Source organism: Homo sapiens, chromosome 3, assembly GCF_000001405.40.
Source record: "Homo sapiens chromosome 3, GRCh38.p14 Primary Assembly".
NCBI classification, from domain to species: domain Eukaryota; kingdom Metazoa; phylum Chordata; class Mammalia; order Primates; family Hominidae; genus Homo; species Homo sapiens.
The window spans coordinates 94,042,274-94,063,408 of record NC_000003.12 but is presented as its reverse complement, the minus strand read 5'-3'; the positions used below and the strand labels follow the sequence as shown (position 1 = coordinate 94,063,408).

Genomic DNA, 21,135 nt, shown 5'->3' with positions numbered 1-21,135 from the left:
GGATACCGCTGTGACACAGAAAACAAATCTCAGCCCTCCAAGAGCTGGAGGGAGTGGGTACTAGAAGTCTGCGAGCTGGACGGAAGGGACTCAGCATTACAGCACTCAGCATTATTTCAGGGCTTGACAGTAAAGCCAAAGAAACGCTGATCTCGCGAGGGGACGAACAAAGGTGATGTTCCCCCATCCCAGCACCCTCCCTCGCCACCTCGGCCGCGTCCAGAAGCGTCTCATTCAGATAGAGGTACCCAGCCGGGCCCCAGGTCTCACCTGGGTCAGCATTGTCCCGCTGAGAGCTTTCAAACAACAGGTGTACGCGAATCAGTATCAAAAAGCCTCCAGGGAACTGAAAAAAACAGTCTGACTTCCGGGATTCGCGGGCATCCACTTTCATTCTCACGTTTCCTCTTCAATTTCTCGCGAGATACTGATTTGCTCGCGCTATAGAATTCTTGTCGAAGAGGCTTAGCTCCCGCGGGAGATTTCGTGCGCAGTTACTTCCGGTAGCTGGTAAAGGCTGATACTTCCCAGGACGCGGAGGTAACGGGCCAGGGCCAAAGCGACTTTCGCTACTTGGATTGGTCGGCGTAGCTTTGGGCGGCCGGACCTTAGAAAGTCACACATCTGCGCGCCTGTGCGGCCCCTGCTTCTGCGGATGCTGAGGTGGGAGGATCGCTTGGGCAGAAGTTTGAGGTTGCAGTGACCCGTGATCGCGCCACTGCACTGCAGCGTGGGCGACAGAGCGAGGCTTTGTCTCAAAAATAAATAAAAAGTCGCATATTGTGCTGAACAGTGTGTATATGCATGGGGCTCAATAAAGGAATGAGTTTTGGGGTTATGTTGTATGATGACTGATTTAAAATATTCTCAAAGCGAAGCTAGTTACTGACTTAATCTACCAAATCTAGTGACCCCTGTTAACCTAGACATTCAGTACCCAAGGATAAAAGGGTGGAATATAATGAAAAAGAAATTAAGTCATGCTTTTCCCCAGACCTGGCCCATGGGGATAATCTCTCCTTTTAATGGAGAGTGTTAAACTGAAGTAGGCATGTAAAGCGGTTACAACAGTGATTAGGAAACAGTAAATGCCCAAATGTTAGCTGCTATTATTTTCACTATTGTGATCATTGTGATTTTTGTCGCGTTGATACCAAATGCGTGAAGACCAAAAGGACCCTCCACTCTAGCCTCCCCAATTCACCTTTACAAGGGAGCAATGTTTAATGGTTCTCCAAGGAAGATGTTTATTACACCTATTTTGACACGAATAGAAGTTTATTTGCTCTTTTGGTGTCATGCTTCAGTAACTATCATTTGTAGCAGCAATCAGCAATTAGAAAAAACCGGTTTGATATGGTCCCTGATAGTTAATAATCATCATTTTGAGTTGTTCCTTGATGCTCATATCAATATACGTACATGCTATAGGTACAAGTCTTATATTCATGTAAAAACATGTCTTTCCTTCTAATCTGATTTGAAGCTTAATATATTTATTTATTTAAACAAGTTTCCAAGTCACCTAAAAAATGCATCTTATTAGAATTTAGATTTGGTACAAAAGACTATGATAATCAGGAATGAAATGATGCCATCTCTTGGATGCCGTCTGTTTAATGTTTGTGGAAAAGTCGGTCTAACCTTTCAGCCTCTGTATTTTTTATAATTTTATAAATTTATATTTTATAAATATTTTATAAATTTATACTTTATAAATATATTTTATATAATTTATTTTTCTATGTTCATTCCAGAATGTTGCAATTAATTAATACAGTGGTATTGTATTTGCAATGTAGGCACGTAAAAAAATTTGAAGAAGGGAATTTCGCGGCATTCTTGGCCTGGCTTCCTGGCGTAGCCAGCAAGTTCGGAGGTGTTAACCGCTGCTGTCATGTTTCTTTTGCTAAACTGCATCGTCGCTGTGTCCCAAAACATGGGCATCGGCAAGAACGGGGACCTGCCCAGGCCGCCGCTCAGGAATGAATTCAGGTATTTCCAGAGAATGACCACAACTTCTTCAGTAGAGGGTAAACAGAATCTGGTGATTATGGGTAGGAAGACCTGGTTCTCCATTCCTGAGAAGAATCGACCTTTAAAGGATAGAATTAATTTAGTTCTCAGCAGAGAACTCAAGGAACCTCCACAAGGAGCTCATTTTCTTGCCAGAAGTTTGGATGATGCCTTAAAACTTACTGAACGACCAGAATTAGCAAATAAAGTAGACATGATTTGGATAGTTGGTGGCAGTTCTGTTTATAAGGAAGCCATGAATCACCTAGGCCATCTTAAACTATTTGTGACAAGGATCATGCAGGACTTTGAAAGTGACACGTTTTTTTCAGAAATTGACTTGGAGAAATATAAACTTCTGCCTGAATACCCAGGTGTTCTCTCTGATGTCCAGGAGGGGAAACACATCAAGTACAAATTTGAAGTATGTGAGAAGGATGATTAATATGAAGGTGTTTTCTGGTTTAAGTTGTTCCCCCTCCCTCTGAGAAAAGTATGCATTTTTACATTAGAAAAGGGACTTTTGTTGACTTCAGATCTATGGATAATTATTTCTAAGCAACGTGTTTTTATTCCTCACTAATCTTGGCTATATCAGATACCATTTATGAAACATTCTTGCTATAACTGTCTCTCCAAGACCCCGACTGAGTCCCCAGCACCTGCTACAGTGAGCTGCCATTCCACACCCATCACATGTGGCACTCTTGCCACTCCTTGACATTGTCAGGCTTTTCTAATGTTGGTAGTATTTATTAAAGATGAAGATGCACATACCCTTCAGCTGAGCAGTTTCACTAGTAGGAAATACCAAAAGCTTCGTACATGTATATCCAGAGGTTTGTAGACAAATGTTGCAGCCTTTTTTGTAACAGTGAAAAACTGAAAACAACCTGGAAGTCCAGTGATGGGAAAATGAATATATTTCTGTCTTAGATTGGGGAACCCAAAGCAGATTCCAAGACTGAAATTTAAGTGAAAGCAGTTTATTTGCTAGGTCATACCAGAAGTCATCAATCGAAGTATGGAGAAATGGAACTGAGAAGGTAAAAACCAGTTCAAAATCAGTGAGGAGGTTCTCAATGGTAACGAGCTCCATACTGCTGAGATACAGGGAAACGGAGGGGAGAAAGCTAGAGTATTTAACCCCCACTCCTTGGTTGTCAGCTCCCTGTCCTGTGTGTGGGCAGAACGTACTCCACCTACTCAATAGCAAGTTCCAGGTGTTTGCTGAAAGAAGCTGCTGTAATGTACGGGAACGGTGAATGCCAAACACTTAAAGCAATTCCATGTTTAAGTATGTAAACTCTTCATACTTTTTTTTTTTTTTCTTTTTAAGACAGAATTTCACTCTTGTTGCCCAGGCGGAGTGCAATGGAACAACCTTGGCTCACGGCAACTTCAGCCTTCCCAGGTTCAAGCAATTCTCCTGCCTCAGGCTCCTGGGTGGCTGGGACTACAGGCGCGTGCCACCACGCCAGGCTAATTTTGTATTTTTGGTGGGGACATTCCATGTTGGTCAGGCTAGTCTCGAACTCCTGACCTCAGGTGATCCTCCTGCCTCGGCCTTCAGGGGTGCTGGGATTACAGGCATCAGCCACTGCACTTGGCAGATCTTCATTCTTTTAGTAAAAAGTATAAAGCCACACATGGTTTATTTGAAATATTTTATAATTTAAAAAAGTACAGAAGCAGGAAAACCAATTCTAGGTTCAAGTGAGGGATGATGGTAGTTTGAACCAAAGGATTGCATGTGGTAAGAAATTGTGATTTAAGATATATTTTAAAGTTGGAAGTAGCAGGATATTCTGATGGAGTTTGACTTTGGTTTTGGGCCCACTGAGTTTGAGATGCCTTTGAGAAATGAAAGAAGTAGAGAGAGAATTAAAAACTGGCCAGGAGTGGTGGCTCACGCCTGTGGTCCCAGCACTTTGGGGGGCTGAGGTGGGTGGATCACCTGAGACCAGCTTGGGCAACATGGTGGAGCCCTGTCTCTACAGAAGATACAAAAATTGGCTGGGCATTGTGGCACACACCTGTAGTCTCGTCTACTCACGGGGCTGAGATGGAGGATTCAATTGAGCCCATGAGTTCAAGGCTGCAGTGAGTCGTGATTTTGCCACTGCACTCCTGCCTGGGTGACAGAAGAGACCCTGTCTCAAAAAAGAATCTGAAAACAACGGAACCATGCCTTCAGAATTCTATAAAGTTATTTTCAACTGATAAATCTATATTCAGGCAAAGAATCAAGGGTGAAGGTAAAATAATACATTTTTAGACAAGCAAAGACTCAGGGGTTACATGTACCCTTTCTTGGGAAGCTATCGGAGAAAATACTCCAGCAAAATGAAGGCGTACACAAACCAGAGAATGACGTGGATCCAGCAAATAGTATCCAACACAGGCAATATTCCAGCTATGGAGCTAGCTTTAAAAAGAAACAGTAAAAATACTAATAGATTAGCTGGGTGGGATGGCCCATGCTTGTAGTCCCAGCTACTCAGGAGGCTAAGCAAAAGGATGGCTTGAGCCCAAGAGTTCAGAGCAGCCTGGCCACCATAGTGAGATCCCTTCTCTTAAAAATAATAGGTTATTGCCAGATTTGGGGCATTTGGAAAGAAGTGCATTGAAGATAAAGCAAAAGTAAAAAAAAAAAAAAACAAAAAAAAACAAGGGGGAAGGGTTGGTTAGGCAATAATTAATTCTAGGGCAGGAAGAAGTACAGGATAGGAAGTAAGAGCATCATACGCTGTTTTTCTCAACAATGGGCAATATGTACATAGTCATAATGATGTGGTGACTGACTGCTTAGCCCCTAAATCTGGTAACTACTTTGGGACAATATGGGGGGAAAAGTGAAGATAGTGATGGTGTAAGAGCTAAATCCTCATCTGTCATATCAAGAAATCACTATATAATGTATAACATAATCAAGAAATGACTAAGTAGTTATGTGAAGAAAAGAATGGAACATTGCTAGAAGAGTTAGAAGTCATTGCTCCAGAGAATTAGGAGGGATGGGGCAGGGGACTGTTAGGATGCATTATAAACTGAAGAGGCTTTTAAAGATTACATGTATTAATATATGTATTCACTTGAAAAACTAAAAAAATAGTAATTTTTTAAAACCCATGGAGGTAACTACCAGAAGGAAAAACTAAGAGAATGAAAAGTGCTTTCCTCTGGAAAGAACAAGTCGCAGGACTGTTTTCATTGTAAGACTTTTGGAGCCATTTGATTTTACTTAACCATTTTCATATATTTCTTTAATAAAAATAATTCTATCTTAATAAAAAGTTACACTCATTCATTAAAAAAAGAATTTTAAGACTGTAATAAGAATCATAGTTTATTTCTGTTAGAGAAAGGCAATGTGTTATACTTGGAAAGAGGTCATATTAATTTTATCACATTTTTGGGACTCAGCATCTTTATATTTTCTGATTTTAAATAAACAACTTTGCTTATGAATTTTGTCTGAATCTCTAATAATCTCCTTATAATGCCTAGTTAATTATGCCCTTAGTTTGGGTAGGTTTTCAAATCTTATTAGTTATTTCTTTTTTAGATTACCGCTCATGTCCACTTATCTATAGGTGTCTTAGTATCATTTTATTTATATTTGAGATAACCATGTCAGATGTTAAAACACTTTCTCAATTTTTCTTATAACCATTTGACTTTAAGTGTGAAGGTATTTTAAAATTTTTTTTGTGCATTGTAAATTGAGTTTATTGATTCCACTGCTTTCAGGCTTATACATTTTTTCCCCGAGTGAAGCCACTTCTGTTTCTCCCCTTACCTTTTCATAGTTTGATCTTTTATGTTTAACCTCTTAATCTATCTAGAATCAATATATGTGTATCATGAGAATGTTAATGGATTTTACTCCCCATCCGCACCCCAAATAGCTACCAAAGAACAAACAATTCTACATTGAGTTTTAGGAATAAAAACTGTTAGCAGCAAACTTGAATTAAACCACTGCAGACATAAGACATTGAGCTGACACAAATAACATAAATCACATTAGTTTGTTTTTTGTGCTTTTTTTAATGTTAGCGTTAAAGAACCAAGCAGCTTAATAAGGACGTACCTCTAGGCAGGAAACAAATTTTTACATATCTAAGCAATTTTATTATAAGGTCAGTTGGTCTTAAGAAGTATTTCAGAGTAATTTATGGAATAACTCCTAAACTATGTTTTATGAATTTTCATATTTATATAAAATGTGTCAAAACCCTTCATGTTCATATAGAGGTTTATGTTGTCAAAAAGGTAAGGAGACGCTTTGTAGTAAAACAATATGACATCAAGAGAGCCCTGAGCTCCTTAAAATATATGGCAGAAAAACAACAGGAAAACACAACAGGAAACCTGTGATCAATGCTACAGAACACAGCATAGTTATAGGCAATCTTAGGCTTAAACGTCAGGTGAGATTCTCATTTTACTAAATTTCAGGGCTCCAATGTGGTCTGTACAAACTCCAGCAGACAATCCACTGTGTCTAGGAAGTAAATATAATGACTTTTATTTTTATTAAGCTTTATGTAGTCTTTTAAAATTTCTTTTTTTAGGGAAGTGTATTTAAAATGTACATAGTGCAGTAGAACAAGTATGTTAACTGTTATGGGCTGAAATTTGTCCCCCCAAAATTCACGTTGATGCCTTAACCCCCAGTACCTCAGAATGTGACTATATTTGGAGATGGGCCTTTACAAAGTTAAGTTATAAGAAGTCATAAAAAGAGGAAAATCGAACACACAGAGACAGTGGGGGTGGGTGGAGAAAAAAGGCCACGTGGGGACACAAGACAGTGTCTATCTATCAGGCAAGGAGGGGCCTCAGGAGAAAGCAAACCCACCAACTTGCTCTCAGACTACCAGTCCCCAGAACTGAGAAAATAAATTTCTGTTGTTTAAGCAACTTGTCTGTGATACTTTGTTATGGCCACCCTAGCAAACTAATACAATAACATAAACATCAATGTATATTAAAAATGTTTTCTGATAGAAGATATTATAATAAAAACTTGGAAACCACTGATCCACTTACCTAGGTTGTAAATGATTTCCTCATCCGCACACAGAAGGAACTTACAAGTTAAGCCCTCAACAAGCAAATGAACTTTTTTCCTATTTTCCATTTAATTATAAGCTGATCTCTTTCATTAAAGGAAGTTAATTTCTGGCTTTCTTTTTTTCCCCCCTCAAAAAACAGGTATCTATTATTCTGTTTCTGTAAAGATAAAGGATTATTGCTATTTTGATAACCTATGCCATGCTTAATTGAAAATTTTAAAATATTTGAATTTGTTCTTTGGATCAGTTGGAATATACTTCCTGATAAATTAATAAACCATTATTAGCAGAATCTCAGTTGCAAAGCATATTCCACTTAGCAAAAAAATTTACTAAGTAAAGCCAAGGATGATAAAGTTTATAAGCTACAGCTTTATATGTATAAACAATTTAGCTTGTGAATAGCTTTTGCTACCTAGAAGCATTTGATTTCTTTAGTTGTATTCTGCAGGTGAACTGCTCCACGATGTTCACAGGTTTTACATATTAAGGGAATTGTAGTCTTAATCTGGCATTTATAAAAGCACTTAATTTTAAACTTGCAGAAAACATGGTACTTAAATAATTTATACAATATTATAAATTTGCCTCCCTCACTACAAAAGTAAGCCAAACTACATTTCTTTCTAGTGTTGTTTCTATGCATAGTTTTATATTTGAAGTCAGTTACATACAATATCATGTATACTACGTAATATGCATTTTACACATAAAGGCACACAAGAGCCTCTTTTAAATACATAAAAACATATCTGTTGACCAACAGCTTTAACGCAAGACAGACATCAAATCCTCTAACATCATATGGTGAAATGCTATTTGTAGCTGCATTTAAAATCACAAATTCTTTCCCACATACATAAAAACTTGCAGAGAGAAAAAAGTTTTGTGTGTAAAGTATCAAAAAAATGCATTATTTTAATCTACTGATTTAAACTGTTTTTCAATAATCATATTTTAAAATCTTTACCTATTTTATTACCCAAAGGAAATCATTTAAATCTACCAATTGAAAAGAGAAACAGAATATTGATATAAATTATTTTTATTGTGTGAAAATGTCAAAATTCAGAATTAAGAATAAAAGTATAACATATAACAAAATAGGCATTTAATTGTTAAAATACACCTGGATTTACAAAACATTTTTTAAAATGTTTTTAAAATGCTTAAGGAATAAAAATTAATTTTTGAGAGAGCTATATAAAATGTGAATTCTATATTATATTTAATTTCAAAATCATTTATTTTTATTAAATGAAGCCAGTAGCTACACTATAGTAAACAGATAGAAAACACAAATTTTAAAAACACGTATACTCCCAAACGAGATAAATATTAAAAAGATAGCAAAAGTATGAGTTTAGTTTTAAAATTAAGTAAATGTTACAAAAAGCTATGCAATTTTCCCTCTAAAATCCTTTTCAAAGTTTACATTGTCTTTTCGTATTGCTTTTCATCACATTTCAGCCACCTCTCAAATTTAGGTTGTTACGAATTTTAGATCTGAAATCAAATGCTTTTACCTCACTCAGTGTGGTTGCTAAGTCCCATGTACAAACTCCAAGAATATATACAGTGCTGACTAGAGTACAGGTGACCTGATTATTAAAGTTCAGTGAGTTAAAAAATGTGAATAAAATCTGATGTTCTGAAGTACAATTTTTAAAGTAAATAATTATATTAAACGACATAAAATGTACTTAATGTTATCAGATACTAGCACATGTCTGTTGTGTCAGTACAAGTTACCAAAAGCACCAATCTTAACAAGGTGGTATAAAAATCATTCTGTTTATACTATTTTCATTGGATATAAAGGTTTGTTTTCAATTAAATGTAACATTATGAATCTATTATTAAAAATATACATCTAGAAGTTAGTCTAAATGCCAAATACAGAATCTTATGGATGCCATTCTTAAGTGCAAGAGAAGTGCTATCATTTTAAATTAAGAAATTATTTTGGAATTATTTATTTATAAAAGTAATTTTGGGCCAACATTTTTATTCTCATTACTTTAGTACACAAGCTGTTTCCCAGTTGTAAAACAGAAGTCTCTGGACCTGCAGTAGGTTTTCCAGTTTTTCTGCCTTTAATTTCATAGTTTAATTTCAAGGCATGAAAGAATTAGAATCACCTAAAAGAGTCACTGCAGCTTCTGATGGAACAAGGGAGTATAGGGAGCACCTTGATCTCTGAAAGTGTCTAACCTTTAAAATAGGACTTTACTGAGACTTTTAATAGTATCTCACAGAATGTATTTTGATTAATTTAAAAAACATTTAGGTACAAAAGGTATTTCCAGTCTCATTGAGTACTGTTTTCAAATCATGTAATTGTTAGAATAAAGATCTGAGAATCTACTACTTCGAAAATATATTATTTTTAAATTAGGTCAAATTACGATGTACACTTAAAGAACAACGCTATTACAAAACATACCTCAAGCCATATAAATATATCCTGTTTGTATAGTTCATGTCTGAAAGTAAATCAACTCTATTTTCCAGATATAATTTAAACAAATCATCTATAAAAAAGGTGTATAATCAATATCACAGTAATTAAAATTTTTAAAGATTTAAAAAAATATAAAAATAGTTTTAAAATTTTGGTTATAAATTCCTAGAAGTCCCCCTTCTATGTGCATATATCTTACAAAAAATATTTAATATCTAGAAATATAGGCTATTGAACAAATAGTAAAGAAAGTGCTGAGTCCATTGGCTCTTTTTGTAAAGTTTTCCTTCAGAAGTATGCTCATGAGTGGGGATGTATAAACCAGAGTCAACAGTAAATCTTGCTAATTTGGTCCAAATGCTGATTTCATGTACTGGTCATTGTGCTTCTTTTATTTTTTTAACCATGAAAAACACAAATAAGTAATTATCAAGTCAGGTCCTTGAGTATTAATCTTCTCACTAAAATTATTATGGTTATCTTGCCCCAGTCATCAATTTACAAGATGTTTCTTCTTCTGAGAAAGAAGAATGTCCCAGTTCACCTTGCTGATATTAAGAGAACTCCTCCATACGTCTTGTTTATGAGATCACATCATGAGCATCACTGTTAGGTCGCTGTGGCACAGCCAGGGGAGGCAGTGGCTTCCTATAGAAATCTAAGAAAAGAAAGAAAACCAAATGCACAAAACAGTTATGGTACATCAAGATTTTTGACACAGTTCATTATTTTTTAGACTTTAGACATTTTAGACATTTCCAAAGAGATAAACTTACAGAATCTTGACATGCCTCTCTAAAAGATTTCCTTCTCTCTCGTGCATTTTAAATCTTAAGAGATGGCACCAACATTCCATCCTGTTGAGCCAAATTATACTCTATTCCTTTTGCCTTCAATCCACACATGCATTAATCACATATTACTTATTATAATGGTTAAAATATTCCTTCCTTATGTTATACTCTCCAATCCAATTTCCATTCCTTACTTCTTACTTTGACTACTGCAATAGCCCCCAAATTTGGATTCTTACCCCAAATATAGCCACTATCAAGTTTGTACTTTACATTGCAACAAAAAATGTTTTTCTAAGCACCAAATATAATAGCATTTTCCCTTTTAAAAATAAAAGCATTTCTTTAAAAGTTATAGCAAGTTAAGACATCTTACCACATATATGAAGCCTTCACAATCTGGCCCTAAGCCATAACTCCACTTTCAACACTCTCTGTAATTTTATATTTTCTCTTTCTTACCCACTCAATGCACATAAACCTAATCTCCTGTCACTGGCAACTTCATGTTATTCTCCAACTAAACAATATTCTTTCCTAACTCTCTATCTTGAAATAGTCTGTTTCTTCTGCTTACTGACTCTTCTCATTCTTTGAAGACCTCGTTCTAATGCCACTTTCCCTAACTGCCCATGTACACAGTACTCCTACTGTGCACAGTACTCCAACTGTACACCATAGAACTCATTGTCATATATTCTACAGTAAGCTGAAGAATTGTCCTCTCTGTATAGTAGAATCCTCACAAAGGCAGAATGTACATCTTATTCATCTTGTTATTACCAATGTTTTAACAAACAAAATACTTGTATGTTAAATGAGTTCAACAGAAAAAATATGTCATATGAAAAATTGGTATTTTTTCTTCATATGTATGTGTGTACATATAAATATACACAGTAACATTAGTTTTCTAACAACATAGTGAATATTTATATTGACAATGTATTCTAACGTACACAAGTTCACTAAGAGTTGTGTAATAAAGAAATAAATCTACTGTAGTCAATATAAACATCACGATGTCAAGTCAGTAAACTAAACAGAGAGATGAGATTTCACTGAAAATACCACTTCAGTAATTCTGATGGAGTCTAAGGACAAACTTTTCTGTCTTTAAAAAAAAAAAAATTCATGAATTTTCACTAACGATTATCAAGAAATATTTCAATACTGACCTAAATAGAATTCTGGGGGAAAAAAGCAAATAGCACATTTATATTTAAGTACCTTTTAAACAAAAATATTTAAACTGGTTTGATATAATTTCAAATTATATGGTAATGCTTTTCTAAAGAGTAAACTTCTGAGTTTTTTCCTAGTAAGTGAAACCAAGTTCTAGACTAGGTAAACACAGAGCTGTCCAAAAAGGAATTGGATGTTCTTAACAAACAAGTTTATTGAACTACATTTATCTATAATTCTTTTGCATTCTAGAAATATTTTACTGAAGGGACCTAGACTGATGGTCTGTAATCAGAACTTCTCCTTGTTTTATAAGGCAGTTCTCTACTTCTCCTAAATATCCTTCCTCTAGTTTTTGCATCCTAGAATTCTAATGCCATAAACTATCTAGACTATAGCGTATGTTATATTCAAAGAAAACTGTTCTCTTAATTCAATAAAAATGTTAGTAACTTTCTACTTAGTCGAACTTTATTAGGTTTACTGATTTGATCTCTGATTTTATAAACTGTGTTGATCTTTACTTCACTTTAATGTTCAGCAGCTGGTTGTCTTATTAGGAGTAGAGAGAAAAAATTATGTGCCATTATCATTGAGTATATTGAGCATATACAGGAAACTACAGCTTTTAACACTTAAGTTATAAATTCTAATGTCTCATAGTTAAATTATTTTAAAACATTTCCTTTTTATTATAACTCCTTGTATAAATATATCATGGATAATAAACACAAGCTATGATTCTTTTTACCTCTGTATTCTAAGGTAAACACCAAATTAAATGATATAGATGTAAAGCATACTTAAGAATAAAAAATTAAATAAAATGAAAAAAGACGTATAATGAAAAAGGATAGCTGTGGATTTGACAAGCTTCTAAAACTAAAACATAAGTTTGTTGAAATTATAAGGCTAAAGAAAAGTGAATGTGACATGTACAGATGATATCTGAAAACCAATCCTTTTGCATTACCATTATGATGTGTTTCACCAAGAGGCTCAAGTTTTGGAAGTCTAGTGACTTTAGGGGTTCCCCAGCCAACTAAAGAAAAAGAAAAACATTTAAAAAACACTGTTAAACAAGGTTTCTTTAGGTCTGTTGAGAGGATCCCTCCCTGGAAAGGAAGCATATGTAACATTCAATGTCAATTCAAATATATTGAATGACAGTATGGAAAGCCAGAAACCCATTTTAAATGGCTTCTATATTTTAAAATGTAATTATAGGCTGCTAACATCTGCTTTAACTTTTCAGTAGCTTTTAATAAAAACTATAAGCACCTTCACCACTATCAAAAACAAACTCATGCTATCATTCTAACTCTAGGCAGAAACTAAATATTTTCTTAATAAATGGAATACTGGAAATGAGTCTATAAGAGATTCTTAAAATGTTACCAAATAATTTCTAAAGCCTTGTAGCAGGGCTATAAGGGCACTATACACATATTTATCTAGTCATTACATATTTACTGACCACCTATAGTAGGTGAGGTGCTAAGCTTAGTGCTGAAAAGTTACTCAAAATTATTGTGCAAGTTAAGTCCCAGTGTTTTATATGCATTACTCCATTTAATCCTCGTAACAACTTAGGACATGGGTATGTATATTGAAAATGTATTAGAAAAAATTAATACATCTTGGTTTCAAACATTAACTTTCAGGATGAAAGGTCCAATTTTTTTTTTTTTTTTTTTTTCCCGAGATGGAGTCTCACCCTGTCACCCAGGCTGGAGTGCAATGGAGTGATCTTGGCTCACTGCAACTTCTCCATCCCAGGTTCAAGCGATTCTCCTGCCCCAGCCTCCTGAGTAGCTGGGATTACAGGCATGTGCTACTACGCCCAGCTAATTTTTTTTTTTTTTTTTTGTATCTTTAGTAGAGACGGGGTTTCACCAAGTTGGCCAGGTTGATCTCGAACTCTTCACCTGGTTATCTGCCCGCCTCGGCCTCACAAAGTGCTGGGATTACAGGTGTCAGCCACCATGCCGAGCCGGTTCAATGTTTTAAAAACTCATGTTAGCCATCCATCGTGAAACTTAAATTAACATGTGGGTACTGATATTTCAAATAGAACTTGAACATATTCTAGGAAATACTGGGTAAAATTTTCTTAATAGTTTTTACTTATTTTTTTCTTTATAAAACATTTTTTTATTCAAAAAAGCAATGGACATTTGTGTTAGCAAATTTTGTCCAAATCAGAGTAAAAGATTCTTCTTCACAAGTATACAAGATAATGAATATACAGAATAAAAATGACAAGATTCCTTTTTTCTTTTTTTTTTTCTCTGTTGTTTAAAGCAATATTTCTAAATTCAGTATCAGTATCAATTTACTCACCAGGAGGAGGGGGTGGGGGTGGCGTTGGACTCTCAGGAGCACAGTCATCTATATTAAGTGGTTCTACCCGGTGGTTCCTTTTCATTCTTAGTTTCTTAGTTTTCTTTTTACCATTAGCTACAAGAATATAAACATGAAACTTCATGTCTTTATGAAAAAGTGCACTTTTATAATAGAAAACAAAGAATACAACAAGAATACTGATATTATTAACAAAAAACATCTTGACTATTTAACTTTGGAAATTGTTACAATAACCAAATGTGTACTTGCATTTACTAAGAATATATTTTTTAAGTGATGGCTTATTGAATGAATGAATGAGCAATGAATATGATAAAAAGAGCCAAAATTCTATATTTTAATTTCTGAGAGGTTTTTCAGAATACAAAAAAATGTCATATGACACAAATATAATTGTCTAATTGCAAGAGTTTCCATGAACTTCATAATAATCTGGGAAAAGAAGCTATTCATTATTGTGTCACTCAGTATATTTGATTTTTCTCAGTGGGATATGTAGAATGATTCCAGGTATAAATAGCCCAAATATAATCCTTTGAAATGTGACATAAAAGGCCCTAAACAAATCTAAACATGTTACTTATTTAAAATAACCCCTACAAGGCTATGCATGGCAGCTCACACCTGTAATCTCAGCACTCTGGGAGGCTGAAGTAGGAGGAATGCATGAGCCCAGGAGTTAAGAGAATGGTCTGGGCAACATAAGGAGACCTCATCTCTATGGGGGAAAAAAAAAACCCCAGCATGGCTTTGTTTTCATGTGCCTGTAGTCCCAACTATTCAGGAGGCTGAGGCAGAAGGATCACTTGAGCCCTGGAGTTCAAGGCTGCAGTGAGTGTGATTGTGACACTGCCATCCAGCTTTGGTGACAGAGTGAGAATCTATCTCAGAAAAAAAAAAATCAAATAAATAAGTAAATAAACAAATAAAATAACTCCTAAAGAAGGTAGGCCCAATACAATACAAACACGTAACCAAAATCGCATTAGAACTAGCAGAATTGAATGTGTTCTTTCTTTTAAAAATTATTTACATATTTTAACTTAAACACATATAAACACTTTAAGGAAATCTATGTTAATGTATAAATTTTAGTAAGGTAAATTAGGATGACATAGTAGTTAACTAAATTTAGAACATCAATGTTACTGCAATTTTTTTTCCTCACTCTCTGCCCAGGCTGGAGTGCAGTGGTGCGATCTTGGCTCACTGCAATCTCCACCTCCCAGGTTCAAGTGATTCTTGTGTCTCAGGCTCCAGAGTAGCTGGGATTGCAGGCATGTGCCACTATATGCTGCTAATTTTTGTATTTTTTTGTAGAGATGGGCTTTTGCCATGTTGCACAGACTGGTTTTGAACTCCTGACCAAGTGATCTGCACTCCTTGGCTTCCCAAAGTGCTGGGATTACAGATGTGAGCCACCCTGCCCAGCCAATGTAACTGCAATATTTCAAAATTGCCGTGTGTGTGTGTGTGTGTGTGTGTGTGTGTGTGTGTGTCTATGCAATGTACTTTCTAAATGGGAATTATCTGTAACATAAAATATATACAATATCTGTGAAGCCTAAAAAGCAATAAAAAATACAATCACACTTAGAAACAAATTATTATTCTAAATAAATTAGTGTTGTTTGAAACATTTCACTTCATATAAAAACAAATAGGTCTTTGTACAATTAAAGTGGTAAGCCTAACAACTGGAAGAATAGATCCACAAGATGTGGAAGAATACAACCACCAAATGGTACTTTAGGGTAGGCATTAGTTCAGGGTCACGTTAAAGCACAGGATGTGGATCAGATGATCTGGACTGGGGTCTCAGCTTACACAGACAGATATATGATCTTAAGTTACTCAACCTCTTCAAGTCCCTGGTTTCTTCATTTATATAATGGAATACTATACCCTGGGATTGCTATGTTAAATAACAAAATATTATGTTGAATAATATAGTGCATACAAAGGCATCTTTTAAAGTATAAAATATAATGTTAGTTATTATTATAGTTACATGATTTACTACCTGAGATCTCCCTGTGCTATATTTTCAAATCATTTGCCAAAATCATTTTGTTCTTTAACAAGCAGTAGAGAACTATTCAAAAACTTAGCGACCACTGTAATAGGTCTACTTCCTTTTTAACTCTGCTGACAGTTACATGGGTAATATATGACTGCCCTAACTTCCCAACTGACAAAAAGTATAACTTTCAAATTAATATTTTCATCCAGCAAAATATCCATGTTAGCTAATCTGTATCTCAGGAATTGAAATCTTATTTTCATAAGCCCTGTGATACTATAAAAATTTCTTATAAATAACAAAGCCATATTCATAACTAAAAATGTCAAGGAAGCAACAATTATAGGGCGCATCTCATGTGGCTGACACTACTAGGAGTAGAGTTATTTTCTAAGTAACCCTAAAAATCTTGTGAATAAAGACAATATTTATTTGCATTTTAGAGATGAAGAAACTAAGACTAAAGAATGTTACATAACTTAACGTATATCTAGTAGATAAGAGAGTCAAGATTCTATCCCAAGTTGTGTGATTCCAAATGCAGGCTATATCCCTACGATACCAAAAATCATGAACATTCTGTTATATAACATAGCCAGTTAGAAAAAGAAAAGCAATTATAAGTTGAAGATTTTTTATGATATTAAAATAAGAGAAAAATGGCTATTTGACAAGACATTTTAAAAATGTTGTACCAATAAAGTTTGCAACCTACAGCAATAGCCAGTCAATAAAGGAAATGATGCTGATGTAGCATTTATGAGCCTTAAAAAACAAACAAAAAACCTTAAGATGTTAAATTTATTCCAAGGATTCTTTTTTTTTGTTGTACATGAATGTTCATATCAGGTTTATTTGTAATAGCCAAAACAGTATACACCTGAATGCCCACCAACAAGTGACTAGATAAGCAAAGTACGGTACATGGATATGATGGACTACCTCAGAGCAATAAAAAAGAATGGACTATTGATACATGCTACAACATGGATGATTCTCAAAGGAATGACGTTGAGTTCAGAAAGCAAGACAAAAAAGTACATTCTATATGATTCCATTAATATAAAGGAATATATTATATTCAAGGAATAGTATATAAATATAAAGGAATATTTTATATTCAAGGAATATAAATGAATATAAATGATATAAAGCAGATCAGTGATTGCCAGGAGATGAGGTGGAGAAGTAGAGAGGGGAGGAAAGAAGGGATTACTAAAGGACATGAAGAAACTTTTGGGGATAATGTTTATGTTCACTATTTTGATTGGGCTGATGGTTTTACATATGTATACATATATCAAAATGTATCAATCTTTATACTATAAATATGTGCAGTTTGTTGTAAGTCAATTATACCTCAATGAAACTCATTAAAATTACCATATTTTGGGGATCTATTTCTAGAATCTCTATTGTGTTTTATTGATCTCTGTGTCTATCCTCTAGTCAATACTATACTGTTATGATCACTGTGGTTTTATTTTATAGTATGTCTTTTTTTTTTCTTTTTTTTTTTTTTTTTGTGATGGAGTCTTGCTCTGTTGCCCAGGCTGGAGTGCAGTGGCACCATCTCGGCTCACTGCAAGCTCTGCCTCCCAGGTTCACGCCATTTTCCTGCCTCAGCCTCCTGAGTAGCTGGGACCACAGGCGCCCACCACCACGCCTGGCTAATTTTTTGGATTTTTAGTAGAGACGGGGTCTCTACTGTGGTCTCGATCTCCTGTCCTCGTGATCCTCCCGCCTCAGCCTCCCAAAGTGTCGGGATTACAGGTATGAGCCACTGTGCCCGGCCACTACTTTATAGTATGTCTTAAATTGGGTAGTATGAGTCTTTAACCTTGATCTTTCTTCAAAATTGTTTTGGGTATTCCAGTCCTTTACTTTTACATATATTTTATAATGAACTTGCCTATATCTACAAAGACTCATGCTGGGATTTGTTTGGAATTGCCTTAAATCTACAGATCAGTTGGGGGCTCTGGCATTTTAACTCTTTTTTTTCTTTCTTTCTTTTTTTTTTTTTTTAGTATTTATTGATCATTCTTGGGTGTTTCTCGGAGAGGGGGATGTGGCACGGTCATAGGATAATAGTGGAGAGAAGGTCAGCAGATAAACACGTGAACAAAGGTCTCTGGTTTTCCTAGGCAGAGCTCCCTGCAGCCTTCCGCAGTGTTTGTGTCCCTGGGTACTTCAGACTAGGGAGTGGTGACGACTCTTAATGAGCATGCTGCCTTCAAGCATCTGTTTAACAAAGCACATCTTGCACCGCCCTTAATCCATTTAACCCTGAGTTGACACAGCACGTTTCAGAGAGCACAGGGTTGGGGGTAAGGTTATAGATTAACAGCATCCCAAGGCAGAAGAATTTTTCTTAGTACAGAACAAAATGGAGTCTTCTATGTCTACTTCTTTCTACACAGACACAGTAACCATCTGATCTCTCTTTCTTTTCCCCACATTTCCCCCTTTTCTTTTCGACAAAACCGCCATCGTCATCATGGCCCGTTCTTGATGGTCACTGTCTCTTCGGAGCTGTTGGGTACACCTCCCAGATGCGGCGGCGGGCAGAGGCGCTCCTCACCTCCCCGACGAGGGGCGGGCAGGCAGAGACGCTCCTCACTTCCCAGACGGGGCGGCCGGGCAGAGGCGCTCCCCACTTCCCAGACGGCGCGGCCGGGCAGAGGCGCTCCTCACTTCCCATTCGGGGCGGCCGGGCAGAGGCGCTCCTCACCTCCCAGACGATGGGTGGCCGGGCAGAGGCGCTCCTCACTTCCCAGACGATGGGCAGCCGGGCAGAGGCACTCCTCACCTACCCGATGGGGCAGCCGGGCAGAGGCGCTCCCCACTTCCCAGACAGGGTGGCGGCCGGGCAGAGACGCTCCTCACCTCCCAGATGCGGTGGCGGCCAGGCAGAGGCGCTCCTCACCTCCCAGATGGAGCGGCCAGGCAGAAGCGCTCCTCACTTCCCAGACGGGGCAGCCAGGCAGAGGCGCTCCCCACTTCCCAGACGGGGTGGCCGGGCAGAGGCGCTCCTCACTTCCCATTCAGGGCAGCCGGGCAGAGGCACTCCCCACTTCCTAGATGGGGTGGCGGCTGGGCAGAGACGCTCCTCACATCCCAGACGGGGTGGCGGCCGGGCAGAGGCGCTCCTCACCTCCCAGACGGGGCGGCCGGGCAGAGGCGCTCCTCACTTCCCAGACAGGGCGGCCGGCCAGGGGCGCTCCTCACATCCCAGATGATGGGCGGCCAGGCAGAGACACTCCTCACTTCCTAGACAGGGTGGCAGCCAGGCAGAGGCGCTCCACACTTCCCAGATGGGGCAGCCGGGCAGAGGGGCTCCTCACATCCCAGACGATGGGCGGCCAGGCAGAGACGCTGCTCACTTCCTAGACGGGGTGGCGGGCAGGCAGAGGCTGTAATCTTAGCACTTTGGGAGGCCAAGGCAGGCGGCTGGGAGGTGGAGGTTGTAGCGAGCCGAGATCACGCCACTGCACTCCAGCCTGAGCAACATTGAGCGTTGAGTGAGCGAGACTCCGTCTGCAATCCCAGCACCTCGGGAGGCCGAGGTGGGCGGATCACCCAAGGCCAGGAGCTGGAGACCAGATCGGTCAACATGGCGAAACCCCATCTCCACCAAAAATACAAAAACCAGTCAGGAGTGGCGGCGCGTGCCTGGAATCCCAGGCACTCGGCAGGCTAAGGCAGGAGAATCACAGGAGCCCGAGGCAGGGAGGTTGCAGTGAGCCGAGATCATGGCAGTACAGTCCAGGCTCGGCAAGAGAGGGAGACTGTAGAAAGAAAGAAAGAAAGAAAGGGGAGGGGGGAGGGAAGGAGAGGGAGGGGGAGGGGAGGAGGGGGAGGGGGAGAGGGGGAGGGGGAGGGAGAGAGGGGAAGAGGGAGAGGGGAAGAGGGAGGGGGGAGGGGGAGGAGGGGGAGGGCTATTCCAAGGATTCTTGAGAGCTATGCTGTATCCCAAATTTATGAAAATAAAAATGGAATTTTCTGCTGAAATCCTTATAAGTTACAAAGGACCACATTTTAAGTCATGGAAAAACAGGTTAGGAACAAACTGAATAATAAAAGACCTTGAGAAAATCATGGTAAATATGGCATTTGAAGACAGAAAAATATTGAAGTACTCGTTTGTAAAAACAAACATAAAAAATGAGATGAAGTATAAGTTTTATTTATATATACATAAGATAATTACTTTAAATAACTAGATTTATTACCTGATTCCAATGATGGCCGGTCTGTCTCATCTTCATTCTTTAACTGCTGTGTTAATGCCTCCTTATAATTTTCTACTAGTCCAAATTCATTATTTTTTTGGCCATTGTGATTAACCTGGCCTTGTGTCTCTATTTGCTCATGCTCCATTTTATGTTTCAGGTGGCAGCCATCACTGTCTTTCTCCATTTTTTGGTTTTTTTTCTCTCTTTCAAGTTTTCCTTCATTCTAACAAAAAATAAAATACATTATCTTTACTATGATGGTTTTATCTAAGATAGTTTTAAGGGAGAGGAAATCAAATACCTTAACAGGATTCTGTAACTTCAAGGACACTGTGAGACTTCTATTTTAAAAATGATTTCATGAATACATCATTAAAAGATGCTAAATGTCAAACATTCAGTAAAACAGAAAGTATAACAAAAGCAAACAAATATTACCAGTAATTCCACAATCTAGAGATGACTACTATTCATCTGTATTATTCCGTATATAATCTGTTCAGTATATAATCACTAAGAGATGATTTTCTCTGCCAACCCCCACACATACATACCTATATCATGTACAGACATACATCACCCAGAAACATACATAAATATATGTATCTATATATACTTATGTATTTGTTGTTTAAACAAAAAAGAATTGAAGTTTTTATTGAAGAATATACATTTCTTTCCATGCCAATGAATATATAAAGTGCTCAGAACAGTGCCTTACACATAGTAAATGCTACATAAATGTTAGATACAATTATTTTCATCAATTATTATTTTGAATGTTTATAGCATACCAATTCTGTATCAATGAACAAAGTATTTCCAATTTTTCACTATTTTAAAAAACAGAATCATCCTAATAGCTTTTTTTTAATTTTTTTAGATTAAATTGCTAACAGTAGAACTGTTGAGTCAGTGGGTAGGCAAATTTAAAAATGTCACATATAGTCACAAACTTCCCTTC

At 37.1% G+C, this 21,135-nt stretch overlaps 3 protein-coding genes across 19 annotated transcripts in view, besides 1 other annotated feature; 1 reads left to right on the top strand and 2 right to left on the bottom strand.

Moving 5' to 3' along the window:
- NSUN3 (NOP2/Sun RNA methyltransferase 3) overlaps positions 1-348 on the bottom strand; it is a 68,772-nt gene extending 68,424 nt beyond the window's left edge. For both annotated transcript variants that reach the window (NM_022072.5, XM_047448684.1), the window contains exon 1: positions 271-348. In NM_022072.5, coding sequence (NP_071355.1) covers positions 271-282 — 12 coding nt within the window. In that variant the 5' untranslated portion in view covers positions 283-348. The remainder of the gene's footprint in view (positions 1-270) is intronic.
- On the top strand, positions 89-5,487 carry DHFR2 (dihydrofolate reductase 2). Of its 3 annotated transcripts, none has more exons than XM_011512537.4 (2): positions 89-172; positions 1,803-5,487. In XM_011512537.4, exon 2 carries the CDS (start codon positions 1,898-1,900, stop codon positions 2,459-2,461), a length of 564 nt encoding a protein of 187 aa, XP_011510839.1. In that variant the 5' UTR covers positions 89-172; positions 1,803-1,897; the 3' UTR covers positions 2,462-5,487. The 3 variants fall into 3 exon arrangements, with proteins under 3 accessions (XP_011510839.1, NP_001182572.1, NP_789785.1); NM_001195643.2 differs by lacking the exon at positions 89-172 and adding an exon at positions 493-540; NM_176815.5 differs by lacking the exon at positions 89-172 and adding an exon at positions 493-663.
- Positions 215-454: an enhancer, noted in NCBI's record as "active region_20124". NCBI's record gives its function as "activates an Ori minimal core promoter by ATAC-STARR-seq in GM12878 lymphoblastoid cells {active_cell/tissue: GM12878}" and the evidence as "EXISTENCE:reporter gene assay evidence [ECO:0000049][PMID:35858748]".
- ARL13B (ARF like GTPase 13B) overlaps positions 7,731-21,135 on the bottom strand; it is a 75,524-nt gene continuing 62,119 nt past the window's right edge. For 11 of the 14 annotated variants that reach the window (NR_033427.2, NR_135621.2, XM_011512533.3 and 8 more), the window contains 4 exons: positions 20,169-20,394; positions 13,887-14,003; positions 12,517-12,585; positions 7,731-10,222 (listed from right to left, as the gene is read on the bottom strand). Coding sequence is in view for 12 of the 14 variants with exons in the window: in XM_011512533.3 (XP_011510835.1) it covers positions 10,146-10,222; positions 12,517-12,585; positions 13,887-14,003; positions 20,169-20,394 (489 nt within the window). In the remaining 2 variants the exon portion in view is untranslated. The remainder of the gene's footprint in view (positions 10,223-12,516; positions 12,586-13,886; positions 14,004-20,168; positions 20,395-21,135) is intronic. The other 3 variants (NM_001410782.1, NM_001437443.1, NM_182896.3) reach the window with 2 other exon arrangements.